Here is a 16,255-nt window from a genome sequence, read left to right as displayed (position 1 = left end):
AAATGTCATAGCGTTCTATGAAGGATACTGTGACTTTGAGATTCTCTACCCTGGGAGAGACCCTCAGCCCTAAGCACTTATTTTTATCTCAATTTTCCAGATAGGGGAAGAGAAACAAATACTAACACACTTGCCCTGGGACTCTAACGGATCAGTGCTCTTTACTCCCTATCACTTGTTAGAAGTGTGTGTAAACCAAGAGTGAATAAGTTCTGAGAGAGAGAAAAGCAGGACTCAGAAGGGAGGTGGGGAAGAGTGAGGTTCATGACATACAGAGTTGTTGCAAGGATGGCACGCACATGAGTGAAGCCCTTGAGCTGTGCTGAGTGGGCCCCATGACGCCTCTCCTGGCTGCTCACAGGTGCAGCTGCAGGCAGTGGGTCAGCTGGCAAGACCTGCACTGGCCTAGAGTGGTTTACTGTAGCCTGGCAGCTCTGTAGTCACTTACTAGCTGTGTGACCTTGGGCAGCAGCACTATTCTCAGAGCCTTGATCTCTTATTCTTGTTGTGTTTGTGTGAGACAGGGTCTCACTCTGTCGCCCAGACTAGTCTCGAACTCCTGGGCTCAAGCAATCCACCTGCCTCGGCCTTCCAAAGTGCTGGAATTACAGGCTTGAGCCACCTTGCCTGGCTTTGATCTCCTCATCTGAAAAAGGAGAATAAGGATGCTTATCTCACAGGATGGCTGAAACAATGAAATTAGATGGTGCTACACACCTGCCTTGCAAAAAGTAATCACCCGCCTTCTGCTTTGTCTCTGCCTCTCTCTATATATAAATAGATCTAAATATAAATATTTTTAAATTAGGGTAAGGTGCACAGATGTGGGATAAATGCAGTCAGCCATCAAAGTTCCCCTAGCTCCCAGTGCCTTCCTTGCATCCCCAGTTTAATATATCCTCTCTGAGACCCAGAGTGCCCAGAAGGGCTCCACCCAGACCCCCTAGACTTTGCCTGGCCTGTGGGCAGTCCCTGCTGTCCTCTGCTTGGGTGCCCACGGCCTGCTCCCCCCTGTCAGCCCCCAGTCCTCCCCTCAGCACCCTCCCCTGGGAAGCATTTGCTGCTTCCAGAACGGGGGGTCCCTTTGGCCCTCATTGGCTCTGTGGAGGCCTCAGGCCCCTCCTTCTCCTCTTCTCTCTGTGGCCTCAGATGGATGTTCCAGCGCGACCTCAGCCTGGGGTTACTTCCTGGAATCTGCTGGAAGGAAAAGGTAGGGCTGTCTGAGCCTCAGCTTCCTCCCCTGGGAATGGAGGAATAATACTGTGTGCACCAAGACCATGTGAGGGGAAAGGCATGGGGGCTGTGAGCTCGTCCAGCAGCAGGGATCGTTAACGCTTGTGATGGGTGTAACATAATCAGTGCTGATGTGTAAATATGCCAGGCTCTTGGCTTGGTGGGGTCTGGCAGGCTGCTTCCCTGCCCTGGCTGCCATCTTCCTTCCCATCCCGTTTGACCTTGGAAAAAGCCCCTTTCCTTCCACCTGGGCTTGGGTCAGCCCCTGCTCTGTGCTCCATGCTGCCCACCCTCCCTGTCCCAGCACAGCTCGCAGGGGACTGCCATGGGCTGCCCACCTGCCTGTCCTGTGCTGGACTGGGCTCCAGGAAGGGAGGAGCTGTGCCTCATTCACCTGGCTCTGGATTGGTTTTGGCTGCAAGGAACACAAACCAACTAATACTCCTTAATCAAAAAGAGGAGTTTGCTGGAAGGCCATGAATGTGGTTTAAGAGGAGCCAAGAAGATGCAGCTGGCCTCAGGAAGGGCTGGAGCCAGAAAGGGGACGCACTCCACACTTCCCCTTCATCTCTCATCCCTGCTTCTTTCTCCTGTCTCTGCAGGATTTTAAAGTGGAAGTTTTTGCTGAGCCCCTAAAATGATAGATAGGCCATTAGCAAAGTGACAAGTGAACAGCCCACAGTGTACAACATATAAGCAAGCGGTCAGCATCGCTCGGATAGCCTTAAGGCCCCTACCCCTCAGGCGGTTACGAAGGTGTTGGGAGTTAGAGATGGAAGAATTGGTGGAGGAGGAGCCTCTGGAGCTGTGCTGTGTGATGTATGTCCTTTCTATGAATGATGAGAAACGGTGATACCCAACACTGAAGGAGGCTATGTGTGCCAGCCCTCGTGCCAGGCATTATGCATTGTGAACTCCCTCAACCCCCCAATACCATCCGGAGGAGGATCTCTTATCAACCCTCATTTTGCAGATGAGAAATCAGGGCTGGGAAGGTTAAGTAATTTACCTAGCAAGTTGCAGAGCTGGGATACAAACCCAGGTCGCCTGACTCCCACGCCCCTGCTCCTAGCCCCGGGTTGTGCCGTGTCATGTGTGTGCCTGTGAGTGTGGTGCACAGTGTACTGTGTGTGTTACGCACTGTGTCCACCTGATGGTGTTGATGTAGGTGTGCACATGCATGCATGTCTGTGGACACACGTGTGTCCCCAGGGGTGTTATGCGCGCATGCGTGTAGGCAGGGTAGCACACTGCTTGCTGTGGAAGACTGAGGGAGGTGCTGGCACACTTGCTTCTGGCTCGTTCATCTCCCACAAAAGCGCTGGTGAAACTACCTCGCCACTCTTTGGTGACCATTTTTCTTAATGAAAAATTTAACGAGAAGAGGAATGGTGGCTGAGCACTGGGGAGTCCTTTACATTGAGTAGCTTAGGCAGATGAAGCCCCAGGAAGAGGAGCAGCCCCCCAGCACTCTCTCGGGGTGAACCGCAGCCACCACACAGGGGGAAATATGAGGCTTCTCAAGACCCAGGAGACCTCGGGAGGCCTCCTTGGCTGGCTTCTCTCAGCCTTCCCCATCCCAGGGGCAGGGCCATAGGCTCCTCCCAACCCTATTTCTAGCCCCACCCCTCCTTGCTCCCGCCCAAGTTGCCTTCTGAAAGCCCACGCCATCCTGATCACAGTCCTGCCCCACAAACTTCCATGGTTCCCTTCTACCCTAAACACACAACCCAACTTCTGTGCCCAGCTATCCTCCACCACCTGGCCCCAATCTGCCGCCCAGACACCCTTCAAGGTAGGTGCCAGGGCAGAGACCAGGTTGTGGGGAGAGAAGCCTAGACTGCAAAGCTTCTGAAGGCCCTCACTCTCAGGGTCCAGCCTCGGTCTCCCCACCTCGGCATCCCCGCCTCCACTGGCAGAGGAGTGGGCATATCGTCCTGAGAATTGAACTTGAAGGTGCTGCAGGAAGTTTAACTCAGAATCAACAAAGGCTCTGAGTGCCAGCTTGATGCTGGGCCATTCTTCGCACAACCTGCCGCTTGGCCTCACAGAGTGGTTTTGAAAGCAGGTGCCTCAACGCCCCAAGTCTAATCGCCTGAAGTCAGAGAACCTGCAAGGAGGGAAACGACCACAGTAATGACCCACATGGAGTGAGGATCTGCTACGACCCACTGTGCTAAAGGGCTCTGGCTGTCACCGTCACCTGTGTGACAACCCGAGGGATGAGCCTACATTAGACCCTCATGATTCATGGACTCCCTATTTGTGAGTTCGCCTACTCACAAAAATTCACTTTCATCCTCCAATCAGTACTCACACTGCTTTCAGGGTGACTCGTGGACATATACAAAGTGGCAAAAATTTTGAGTCACCTGATATAACCTGATACCAGCTGAAGGAGAACAAGATGACACTCTGCCTTCTTGTCCCAGCTCTCATTTGGCAAACAGGTGTCCTTTGTGTGGTCTATTTAGTGTCCCGCTCTTCACATATTTGCGCACTTTGTTGGTGATTTCACTATTTCAAACTGCCCCCATGCGGAGTGCAAGGTGCTGTCTGGCATTCTTAAATACAAGAAGGCTGTAATATGCCTTACAGAGAAAATGGTGTGTTATGTCAGCTTCATTCAGCCATGAGTTACAGCGCTGTGGCTGCAGGTTCAGCGTTAATGAATCAACAGTATTAAATAAGGTGTCTTTAAACAGAAACACACATGAAACAAGGTGATGTACTGATCAGTTGATGAAAATGTGACCAGGGGTTCACAGAAATCTAACTCTGTATTTTTCCTCTAGGAGCAAAGGTTCAGTATTGCTAATTCAGCGTTCTTGGTGACTTTATAGAACATACTTACTGCAAATAAGAATCAATTGTAGACCATACTGACCAACATGGTGAAACCCCGTCTCTACTAAAAATACAAAAATTAGCCACGCATGGTGGCACGCGCCTGCAATCCCAGCTACTCAGGAGGCTGAGGCAGGAGAATCGCTTGAACCCAGGAGGCAGAGGTTGCAGTGAGCCGAGATCGCGCCACTGCACTCCAGCCTGAGCAACAGAGCGAGACTCCGTCTCAGAAAAAAAAAAAAAAGAGAGAGAGAGAGAGAGAGAATCGATTTTCCTCCTTTGCCACTGAAGAAACTATGGCACAGAGGGGTTAAGTCACCCACCTGGGCTTGCACAGCTAGTGAGTTGCAGGTTCTCTTAGGAAAGGAATCAACCCCCTCAACACACACACAGACACACACCTTCATGAGAAATGAGATAAATGCTGGTGGCCTGGGACACAAGTGTAGGGGACGAGGTACACAGACTTGGCATTGAATAGCATTATCTGAAGTTCTTTCTTTTTCATCTGTCTTTCAATCCTGGTGAGAGAATGCAAGTGAAACCCTGGGCTTGGTGCCCATAGGTCTTTAATGCCTCTCAAACTCCCCCTGCTAATTCCACTTTTAGTAAAGAAAGCTCAGCCCCCAGACTCAGAGCCTCCAGCAGGTTGGTGTGTCTAGCTGGGACCTAGTAACAGTTTAGTTTTCATTGTAGTATTTTTTTTTTTTTTTTTGAGACAGGGTCTCGCTCTGTCACCCAGCCTGGAGTACAGTGGCATGATCTTGGCTCACCGCAACCTCTGCCTCCCAGGCTCAAGCGATTCTCCTGCCTTAGCCTTCTGAGTAGCTGGGATTATAGGCGTGTGTCACTACCACCTGGCTAGTTTTTGTGTTTTTAGTAGAGATGGGATTTCACCATGTTGGCCAGGCTGGTCTTGAACTCCTGACCTCAAATGATCCTATATTGTAGGATATACCTACACACAGTATATCCTTCAATCCTCACGCTGGCCCCCAACGGGGGTATTATTGGATCTGAATTTTAGAATGAGGAGTCTGAAGCTCAGAGAGAGGTGAAGTGACTTGCCCACCGTCCTGTAGCAAGTGGATAGGAAGCCAGCATTTGAGTGCAGGCCTGTGTGGCTCCAGAAGCCTCCTACAGGTAACCCATACTGCTTCCCGGGTACATGCCTGGGAAGAGAATGCCTGGGTGACCATGACCAGAGATCCGTTCCTTTGCTTAGGCCTGTGCTCATGGGGAGTTTGCCTCTAAAGCTCTCCTTGCCCTGGGAAAGGAGGAAAGCAGAGAGAAAAGTGGCCTAGGTTTGCGGCTGTGCATCTTTCAGGTTCAGTATAAGTTTGTTGTTGTTTTGTTTTGTTTTGTTTTGTTTTGTTTTGTTTTGTTTTTAGAGACAGAGTCTTGCTGTGTCATCCAGACTGGAGTGCAGTGGCGCGATCCCGGCTCATTGCAAACTCCGCCTCCCTGCAACCTCCGCCTCCTGGGTTCAAGCGATTCTCCTGCCTCAGCCTGCCAAGTAGCTGGGACTACAGGCACCCACCACCACATCTGGCTCATTTTTGTATTTTTAGTAGAGACAGGGTTTCACCATGTTGGTCAGGCTGGTCTTGAGCTCCTGACCTCAGGTGATCTGCCTGCTTTGGCCTCCCAAAGTGCTGGAATTACAGGCATTAGTCACCGCCGTGCCCAGCTGACCCAGTCTCCTCTTAAAGATGCCATCTCCCAATACTGTCACATTGGGGATTAAGTTTCAACATAAGTTTTGGAGGGAACAAACATTCAAACCATGGCAGATTTCCTATATAGAATCAAGTCATCTGCAAATAGTGATAGTTGTAGTTCTTCCTTTCCAATGTCTATGCCTTTTATTGTCTTAACGCACTGACTAGAACTTTCAGCATAAGGTCCAATGGGAGTGGTGGGAATGAACATATTTATCTTGTTCCTAATCTTAGGGAGAAAGCGTTCAGTCTTTACAGTTAGGTACGATGTAGATGTTTTTTATGTCCCTTTATCAGATTAAGGGGAAGTCTCCTACTCTTGGTTTAGAAGAGTTTTCATAGATGCTCTGGGAGTGTTTTATTGATATTCATTATTGCATATTGAATTTAGTCAAATACTTTTTCTGCATGAAATGGTATGATTTTGTGGTTGTTATTCTTTAGTCTGTTAACAGAATGAACTACACTGATTGGTTTTTCAATGCCTTGAATTCCTGAGATAAGCTTCACTTATTATTTTTAATATATATTACTGGATTTAATTTGTTACTATTTTGTTGAATATTTTTGTATCTATATTCATGAAAAATGTTGATTTGCAGGGGTTTTTTTCCTTGTACTGTCTTGCCTGGTTTTGGTATCAGGATAAAATTGACTTCATAAAATAAATGGGAAAGTGTTTCCTTCTCTTATATTTTCTGGAAGAAATTATGCATGAAAAAAATTGGTCTAATCTATTATTTAAACATTTGGTAGAAATTGCCAGTGAAATTATCTAGCCTAGAAGTGTCTTTTTCAGAAGGTATTTAACCATAAATTTAATTTCTTTAACAAATACAGAACTGTTAAGGTTATCTATCTTGGGTGAGTTTTTAGTGGTTTGTGGCTTTAAAGGAATTGGTCCATTTATCTAAGTTGTCAACACATTTTGTGGAGTTGTTTATAGTAGTTCCTTATTAGCCTTTTAATGTGTGTGAGGTCTGATGTAGTAAGTCATCTCTCATTCCTGATTTTGGTAATTTGTGTCTTTGCTCTTTCCTTAGTCTTTTTAGAGGTTTATCACTTTAATTTATCTTTTCAAAGAACCAGCTTTTGTTTCATTGATTTTTCTTTATTGTTTTCTGTTTTCAATTTCATTGATTTTTGCTCTTGACTTTGTTATTTCTGCTTGCTTTGGGTTTATATTTCTCTCTCTCTCTCTCTCTTTTTTTTTTTTTTTAGTTTCTAAAAATGAGAGCTTAGATTGTTGATTTCAAGTCTTTCTTCTTTTCTAATATAAGCATTTAATGCTGTCGGTTTCCTGTAAGCATTGCTTGAGCTGCATCCCACAAATTTCGAAGTTTTTTCATTTTCATTCAGTTCAAAATATTTTCTAATTTCCCACGAACTTTCTTTTTGACCCATTATTTTAAATTGTGTTAAAAGTGTTTAGAGACTTTCCAGTTATTGCTCTGTTTTCAGTTTCTAGTTTGATTTCATTGTGATCAGATAACATACTTTGTGTGATTTCAGTTATTTTAAATTTGGAAGACTACTTTTATAACCCAAGATAGGGTCTTTCTTGGTGAAGATTCTTTTTTTTTTTTTTTGAGATGGAGTTTCACTCTTGTTGCCCAGGCTGGAGTGCAAAGGCGTAAGCTCGGCTCACTGCAACCTCTGCCTCCCGGGTTCTAGCAATTCTCCTGCCTCAGCCTCTGGAGTAGCTAGGACTACAAGCATGTGGCCACCATCCCTGGCTAATTTTTGCATTTTTAGTAGACATGGGGTTTCACCACGTTGGTCAGGCTGGCCTCGAACTCCTGACCTCAGGTGATCCACTTGCTTCGGCCTCCCAAAGTCTGGGATTACAGGCATGAGCCACTGTGCCTAGCCAAAGGTTCTTTTACACTGTGCAGAATTTATTTTCTGCTGTTGTTGGATGGAGTGTTCTATAAAATGTCAATTACATCCAGGTCAGTGATGGTTCATATCTTCCGTATCATCGCTGTTTTCTATCTACTTGTTCTATTAATTATTGAAAGAAGAATATTAAAGTTTACAACTGTAATTGAATTTTTCCATTTCTCCTTTCAGTTCAGTTTTTGCTTCATGCATTTTGAAGTCCTGTTATTAAATGTATACACAGTTAGGATTTTTATGTTGTCTTGGTGAACTGGTCCTGTTATCATTATGTAATGTCTCCTTTTATCCCTAGTAATTTTCTTTGGTTTAAATTTTACTTTATCTTATATTAACATAGCCACTCCAGCTTTCTTTTGATTGGTGTTTGAATGGTTTATCTTAGTCTTTTTTTAAATGATTTTATTGAGATATAATTCACATAGCATAAATTTGCCTATTTGAAGAGTGCTGTTCAGTGGTTTTTTGTGTATGTATCTTAGTCTTTTAATGTATCTATATCTTTATATCAATATAATTATAGGCAGCATATAGTTATATCTTGTTTTTTAAATCCATTCTGACAATTTTTGTCTTTTAATTGGTGTGTTTAGACCATTTATATTTAATGTAATTATTGCTATGTTTGTATTTAGGTCTGTCATTTTATTATTTCTGTTTGCTCCTTCTGGTTTTTGTTCCTCTGTTTCCCCTTTCCTGTTTTTATTTGGGTTATTTAAACATTTTTTAGTATTCTATTCTACTTTATAAATTGCATTTTTTACTATATTTTTTGTAAAAAAAATTTGGTGGATTTTCTAGGTATTACTATATGCATATTTAACTTTTCAGATTAAATAGAAATGTCTACTTAGAAGAAATACTTTACTACTTTAAATGGAATATAGAAACCTTCCCATCAAATAGGTTCCTTTACTCTCCTTCCTTTCCATTATGGCTATCTTATATATTATATATTAGGTCTACCTTGAAAACCTCATCAAACAATGTTATAATTTTTGCTTTCAACTATTAATCATATTTTAGATAACTCAAGAGAAGGGGAATAGACTATTTACCCAGAAATCTACCATTTCTGTTGTTCATCATTCATTCCTGTGTTTCCAAGTTTCACTATGGTATTATCTCCCTTCCATCTGAAAAACTTCCTTTAGCATTTACTTTAGAACAGGTATGTTAGCAACAAAGTCTCTTAGTTTTCCTTTATCTGAGGATATCTTTATTTCACCATCATTCCTAAAGGATATTTTCACTGGATATAGAACTCTGAGTTGATGTTTCTTTTCTTTTAGCACTTTGAAAATGTTTCATTTCCTTTTAGCCTCCATGGTTGCTCATGAGATACTGATAGTAATGCTATATTTTTCTCTAATTACTTTCAAGATTTCTTTCTCCTTAGTTTAAAGAAGTTCAACCACCATATCCCTGAGAGTGCATTTCTTTGAGTTTACCCTGTTTGAAGTTTGCTGAATTTCTTGAAGCTGTAATTCTGGGAAGTTTCCAGCTGTTATTTTTTTTCAATTATTATTTCCTGAACTGCACTGTTGCTCCATTCCTTCCAGGACTCTGATTACATGACCAGTTGACATTTTGGTATTGTCCCTCTCGTCCCTGAGACCCTGTTCAATTTTTTCAATCTTTTTTCTCTTTGTTGTTCAGATTGGATAATTTCTATTGATCTATATTCAAGTTCCCTGACTCTTTGTTCTCTCATCTCCATTCTGCTAGTTTTTCCAGTTATTGTTTTTTTATTTTAAAATTGCATTTTTCAGTTTTGTAATTTCAGTTTGGTTATTTTTTATATCTTCTATTTCTTTGTTGGGACTTGCTATTTTTCATTCATTCCAGAGTATTCACCCTTACTTCTTGGAGTAAGGTAATAATAGCTGCTTTAAAGTCTTTGATAATTTCAACATCTGTGTTGTCTCAGGGTTGGCATCTATTTGATTGTCTTTTTATTGTGAGTTGAGTTTTTTCTAGTTTTTCATATCCAAAGTAATTTTAGATTGTATCCTGGACATTTTGAATAGTATGTTATGAGACTCTGGATCTCGATTTTTATTTTTTTAACTCACAGAACCAGTGAGTGGTCTTGTTTAAATCCTAAAGAGAATGCTGATTTTTTTTTTTTTTTAATTTTAGCAGACAAGTGACCAGGCTAGGTCCAGGCTGCCAGTTCCACCTACCTTCTCTGGGTTCTGGTACCAATATCAATTCAGTTTTCAAAGCCATTTGCAGTACTCTTCAGATGGGTTTCATATGTAGACTAGTTCTCAAGGTCTTTGATGTTTTGTTTGGGATCAGATCCATGCTGCACAGTTTGGAGGTGATTCTGGGAGTTTATACACAAAAGTATGGGATCACTCTTTTATGCTCTCTCCTCTCTACAATCTCCCTCATCAGTTTTTGGCTCTTTGGGGCCTCCTTTTCCAGTCCCTCAGCCAGAAATCTAGGACTTTAATTTCCCAGCTCTGCTATGTACTTATAACTGCATCTGTGTCTGGGGCCAAGCAGCAGGAGAACAGAAGGCAGAGGGATTGGGGTGTGAGGGTGGAGACAGAAGTAACAGGAATTTCCCCATGCTCTTGGGCTCACGGCTTTTCTGGTAGGAGAAGTTTTTTCTGTCTAAGAATTTTAGGCATCTACTTGGCTAATGCTGCTATCACCATTGCCACTGCCTCCATTGCAATACTACCTGGCAGCTTGAGTGGGAGACGATGGAGAAAAAAACACATAAACAGGAAAACTTCCCACATCTGATCTTTAGGAGCCACCTTCCTGCTCCTCAAACCAGAAAAGGAGTTCTTTCTATTCTCTTGGAGCTCTATCTGCCCCTACCTGGTGCACTCTTCCAGGTTTTGGGCTACATGTGAGTCAAGGTCAGGCAAAACTGGGGGGAAAATAAATGGGAAACTCAACCCCAGTTCAATCATACTTCAAATTCTTGTTTCCTTCTCCAATATATTGGCTACTATGCAGTTTCCAAGTTCTCAGCTAGCTGGCCCATGCATCCTGTCCGTAGTTTAGAATCACAGTCAGTAGGTATAATGTAGAGTGTGTTTACTCCATCTTTTCCAGAATTGACCCTTCATGTGTTGGGCTTTCATTTCAATTTAAGTTTTAAATTTTAACTTATTTGTCATTTCTAGAAATTCTATTTGGTCTGCTTCAACTTCACCTGATCACTTTTGATAGTCTCTCATTCTTTTGTCATACATTTGATCACATCTTTAATTTCTTTATGCAAACCACACATAATTATTTTATGTTATACATACAACAGATCATTCCGATATCTTTGGTTGTTGTTGGTCTGATTCAGCAATGTTGTTTCTGCTGAATCTCATGTCATGTAGCTTATTTTCTCTTCTGTTTAATATACATATATGTGCATTAAAATATATATGTTTTAGTGTAACCTCCTGTTCCTGGAAGTTTATTTGTGAGAATACTTTGAAGCCTAGATTTAAAATGCGTTCCTCTAGGGAGTCTTCACAATTGCTTCATCAGGCATCTGGGGAACACTTGAAACTATATTTTCAGTTAGTTTTTTTCTGGCGTCAGAGAGGGAAGCAATATAGGCAGTGTGAATTCCGATGCCACATCCACTTGAAACTGAGCTTGTCGAGGCCGAGCGTGGTGGCTCATGCCTGTAATCCCAGCACTTTGGGAGGCCAAGGCAGGTGGATCACGAGGTCAGGAGTTCAAGACCAGCCTGGCCAACATAGTGAAACCCCATCTCTACTAAAAATACAAAAAAATTAGCCGGGTGTGGTGGCAGTCGCCTGTAATCCCAGCTACTCGGGAGGCTGACACAGGAGAATCGCTTGAACCTGGGAGGCAGAGGTTGCAGTGAGCCAAGATCACGCCATTGCACTCCAGCCTAGGCGACAGTGTGAGACTCCATCAAAAAAAAAAAAAAAGAAAGAAAAGAAAAGAAAGGAAGAAAGGAAAGAAAGAAAGAAAGAAAGAGAGAGAGAGAGAGAGAAAGAAAAGAAAGAAAAAGAAAGAAAGAAAGAAAGAAAGAAAGAAAGAAAGAAAGAAAGAAAGAAAAGAAAAAGAAAAGAAACGAAACTGGGCTTGTCCCAGAGATTCCAGGGAAAACCCATCTTTCCTGTGCTCCAACTGCAGTTGAGACAGAAGCAGACAAGTCTCTGTGGACATTTTTTCCCTACTTTATTGAGGATGCAGCCCTTTGGGATCCCAGCTTTATGCAGGGGTCTTCTAACCTACCTCCCACTTTGCTTGGACCCAGGAATTATTTCCCATAAAATGAGTATCTTCCAGGCGGGCGTGGTGGCTCACGCCTGTAATCCCAGCACTTTGGGAGGCTGAGGCGGGCAGATCACCTGAGGTGGGGAGTTCGAGACCAGCCTGGCCAACATGGCAGAGCCCCGTCTCTACTAAAAATACAAAAATTAGCCGGGTGTGGTGGTGCATGCCTGTAATCCCAGCTACTTGGGAGGCTGAGGCAGGAGAATCGCTTGAACCTGGGAGGTGAAGGTTGCAATAAGCAGAGATTGCGCCACTGCACTCCAGCCCGGGCGATAGAGCCAGACTCTGTCTCAAGAAAGAAAAATCAGCGAGTCAACAGAGTAAAGCAGAAGCAAGTTTATGAAGAAAGTAAAGGAATAAAACAACGGCTACTCTACAGGCAGAGCAGCACGAAGGGCTGCTGGTTGGCTACTTTTATGGTTATTTCTTGATCATATGCTAAACAAGGAGTGGTTTATTCATGAATTTTCCAGGAAAGGGGTGGGAATTTCCCAGAACTGAGAGTTCCTTTTCCTTTTAAGTCATATAGAGTAACTTCCAGATGTTGCTATGGCGTTTGTAAACTGTCATGGGGCTGGTGGGAGTGTCTTTCAGCATCCTAATGCATTATAATTAGCGTGTAATGAGCAGTGAGGATGACCAGAGGTTACTTTCATTGCCATTTTGGTTTGGGCGAGCTTCTTTACTGCAACCTGTTTTATCAGCAGGGTCTTTGTAACCAGTATCTTGTGCCCCTCTCCTATCTCATCCAGTGACTTAAGAATGCCTAACCTCCTGGGAATGCAACCTGGCAGGCCTCAGCGTCATTTTACCCAGCCCCCGTTCAGGATGGAGTCGCTCTTGTTTGAATGCCTCTGACACTCCTGTCCTCTGTGCCTTGTCTGGGCCACACTCTTGAGCACATCAGAAACATGCTTCTGAGTCCAATCCACCTGGGGCTGTGGGAAACCCTCTTGAGCACTCAGGTGCATCCTGGCAGCTCTGTGAGGCCAGTCACACCTACCGGCAGGACCACTTCTGCTTCTGCTTCCACTTCCGCTTCCACTCTGGCACACATCACAGCACAGGGAGGCCCAGGCTCCAGGCTCCAGGCTCCTCCCTGCTCTTCAACTCACTTCCGTCCTCTCGTCTCACTTCCCCTTGAGTCTCCTTCCCCAACTCATGAAATTTTTATTTAGTTTGCGGGGGAGGGCCACACAGGGAGTGGATGGCAAAGACCGGATTGAAATCCAGGTGTCCAGACATCTCAGCCAGGGTCCCCACAAGCCTGCAGAGAGTGTTGGCACAGCAGGATCCATCCCGTGCTGTGCTGATGTGACTGGCAATCCCTTGGGGAGGAACATTGGGGCCATCTTCCCAGGCATTCAGCACAGCACCTGCCATTCTGGAAGTGAATGAATGAGGTTGGGGCTACCTGGACAGGAGGTGCGCACTGCATTTTCACTCTCTGTGCATGGTTGAGTCTCCACTGTTGGCCAGACACTGACCACTGCTTGACCCATTAGCCAAGGAGATGTGAGGGGTGGGGCTGGGGAAGAGGTGAAGGAGGAGAGAGGAAGGAGTGTGTCTGTCCTGCATGCTGCAGAGCGTGCTGCCACATCGCAGTGACGCTCCAGATGCTGTGCTCAGAGCTGCCTGAGCGTTCCCTTATTGAATCCTCACATGTACATTTCTTGGAAAGAAGAAGAGATTCTTCTTCACTCCCATTTTGTAGATGGGAAATTGAGTCTTCAAGAGATTGAGTAACTTGCCTAAGGCCATATAGCAAATAACCAGGGAAATGGGATTCAAATCAGCTCAAAAAAAAAAAAGTTGAACCCAAACCCTCCATACCACAAGGCCTCTTCGCCATCAGTGTGATGATCTCTACTCAACAGATAAGGAAACTGAGCCCTGGGGATGTAAGGGACTTGCTCAGGTTAGTGAGAGAGCCAGACCCCAAACCAACACTAGAGCCTGGACTGCTTGCCATCAGTGGTTTGAACCTACCACAAGCCCCCTGACCAATGGGGAAGACAGATCCTGATGTTGCTGCCCTAGGGCTGATGGCCATTGAGTAGGCATGGGGTCTGTCCTGGCCAGCAGAAGTCCCTGACACTGTCAGTTCCAGGCAGTGTGCACGCCCTACACCCAGATAAACAAGAGACCAGCTCTTGGCCTCGTGGAGCCACTGTGTGCCAAGGTGCGAGGGTGGGTTCTGCAAGAGAGTGGCACCTACATCTCACATGACCTCATCTCCCCTGCCGGTGCCCATGCCCCAGGATTCTGGACATTTGCCTCAATGGCCAGCTCTGTGGGTGCCTTCACTTCAGAGGTCAGGCCCCAACCCTCAGCCAAAGGACAGCTGGGCAAATGGTTCCACCCACCAGAGCTGGACACCTGGCCTGGACTGGACTAGTGGACTTCTCTCCTGGGTTACAGAGGCCTGAAACTTCCTTCCCTCTAACTGTGGGTGCCAGTGGCAGTCCTCCAGGCCAGGCCAGTGAGGAGGCCCTGGGAGGCAGAAGGTCTGTGGTGGCTGTGAAAATGCCCCTCTCAGATCTCTGACTGTGAGGAGCATCATTGACCAATGGCTTCAGCAGCTGAGCAGTAAAATCTATCACCAAGGTGTGTGCCTGAGGTGGCTGCACTCCCTGCAGGCTCCTTGAGGTCCGCAACAGACCTGCATTGTGGTCAGATGGCCCTCCCAGCCTCCTCCAACCTAACTGGGACAGCGCATCAGGGTGTGACAGTCCCCACCATGCCCAGGACCCATTACTCCCTACCACCCAGATGATTCACATCAGAGAATTCACCCCTCCTGGGATGCAGGGTTCACCTCTCCCTTTGGCCCCCCGAGCCATCACCCTCTCAGACAAACCCAGTTCTGTCACTCTTCCCTCATGCAGAGGTCCGCGTGTGGGCCTGGGGCAATATGGAAGTCAAAGAGAAAGAGCTGGTTATATGTTGACTCATGTCTGCCTTTTATTATCCAGGAATTTATCAAAACCTGGATTTGTGCAAGGCACAGTGACAGCAGAATATTCCAGAAACTGCACAGGATTTGGAGACGGATGGAAAGTGGGGACTATGTTTGAACACTTGCACTCAGAGCTGTGTGATCTTGAACAAGTTACCTAGCCTCTCTGAGCTCTTGTTTCCCCATCTAAAAATGGGTTGTATGAGAAATTCATGTTATAGAGCATGGACCGACCAAGCGGACTTCTACAAATAGCCAGGGATGTTACTGTTAGGCCTGTAGTTCTTACTTCGGTCCTTGAAAGAAAGAGTCAGGCAGTGACCTGGGTCTGACCCTTCATTCTGGGCACCCAGAGACCAGGCTCCCACACACAGCTCAGCAGCTGGAGCCTTTGTGCTGGGTACCAGCTTGTCTGCTGAAGACGGGGCAGGTGGGGTGGGAATCCAGTAAGAGTCTGGCCCAAGGCTCATGTCTTCTTCCTCCACTGCCAGACCTCCTTGCATGACAGCAGCCCCTACTGAAGGAGGAGGCAGAGGGAAGGAGTGGGAATCAGGGCCTTGCAGAGGGATGCCTGGATGCCATGGGGAAGGCTCAGTATTTAGAAGGACCCAGATATAAAGCAGTCATGGAGCCAGTTTTTGAGTAGGGGGAACAAAACAGGACATCTTCGACCTAAATTACCTGGGTAAACTCTAAAACTGTCTACATCCCAGGAGACAGTTATAGACAAAGTTGCCAGGAGGTTCAGAGGAAAGAGAGCACAGATCCAAGTGGGAAAATTCAGGGAGTCTTCCTGGAGGAGGTGGCATTTTAGCCACATCTTGAAAGGTGCTATGGGGGACTAAAGGAGAGGGTAGGACACTCTGGGAAAAAAAATCCCAGCATAAGCTGAGGATAGGGGATGGGAAGGATGGAGTGGTTCACCTGGAGTGGTATAGGAAAGAAGAGTGAGAAGTGAGGCCACAGGTATTCTGGAGGGCCAGGAGTTTGATGTTTACTCTGTTCAGCAGAGGGGTGGCAGGATGAGATTCTGAGCAGAGGAGTGATGCTCTCAAAGTATATTAGCAAGATGGGTGGCCTAGGGCATTTTGGAACTCTAGGTGTCCCAGGCAAGGGCCCCAGGAAGCTTTTAGCAGGTTTTGCCCTTATTTTAAATGACCCCCACCTCCTTATCTGTGTTTTCATCAGGGTCTGAGAGTTAGCGAAGCTCTGCATTCTATGTGTCATGAGCCTGTCACGCACCCGCTGTGTAACCACTCCCAGTACACAGGCACGCTCACACGCACATGCACACACAAGCACACACCCTCAGAGGCCAAGC

General features: G+C 45.5%; 1 long non-coding RNA gene across 1 annotated transcript in view, besides 3 other annotated features; it reads right to left on the bottom strand.

Moving 5' to 3' along the window:
* Window positions 819-1,791: an enhancer, noted in NCBI's record as "H3K4me1 hESC enhancer chr15:67169867-67170839 (GRCh37/hg19 assembly coordinates)". NCBI's record gives its function as "activates a minimal SCP1, AML or CMV promoter by ChIP-STARR-seq in primed H9 embryonic stem cells {active_cell/tissue: H9 hESC(primed)}" and the evidence as "EXISTENCE:reporter gene assay evidence [ECO:0000049][PMID:30033119]".
* Window positions 7,068-16,255, bottom strand: part of LOC105376718 (uncharacterized) — a 29,383-nt gene continuing 20,195 nt past the window's right edge. Inside the window, exon 2 of the long non-coding RNA XR_932381.3 lies at window positions 7,068-15,451. This is a non-coding gene — a long non-coding RNA (uncharacterized LOC105376718). The remainder of the gene's footprint in view (window positions 15,452-16,255) is intronic.
* Window positions 11,862-12,031: an enhancer, noted in NCBI's record as "experimental_40570 CRE fragment used in MPRA reporter constructs". NCBI's record gives its function as "activates a minimal promoter by MPRAs in K562 erythroleukemia cells, with activity observed for the non-introgressed 15:67159712 variant allele {active_cell/tissue: K562}" and the evidence as "EXISTENCE:reporter gene assay evidence [ECO:0000049][PMID:34662402]".
* Window positions 12,618-13,117: an enhancer, noted in NCBI's record as "H3K4me1 hESC enhancer chr15:67158541-67159040 (GRCh37/hg19 assembly coordinates)". NCBI's record gives its function as "activates a minimal SCP1, AML or CMV promoter by ChIP-STARR-seq in naive H9 embryonic stem cells {active_cell/tissue: H9 hESC(naive)}" and the evidence as "EXISTENCE:reporter gene assay evidence [ECO:0000049][PMID:30033119]".

This window comes from Homo sapiens, chromosome 15 (assembly GCF_000001405.40).
Source record: "Homo sapiens chromosome 15, GRCh38.p14 Primary Assembly".
In the NCBI taxonomy this organism is placed as follows: domain Eukaryota; kingdom Metazoa; phylum Chordata; class Mammalia; order Primates; family Hominidae; genus Homo; species Homo sapiens.
This window is presented reverse-complemented; position numbering and strand designations above follow the sequence as displayed.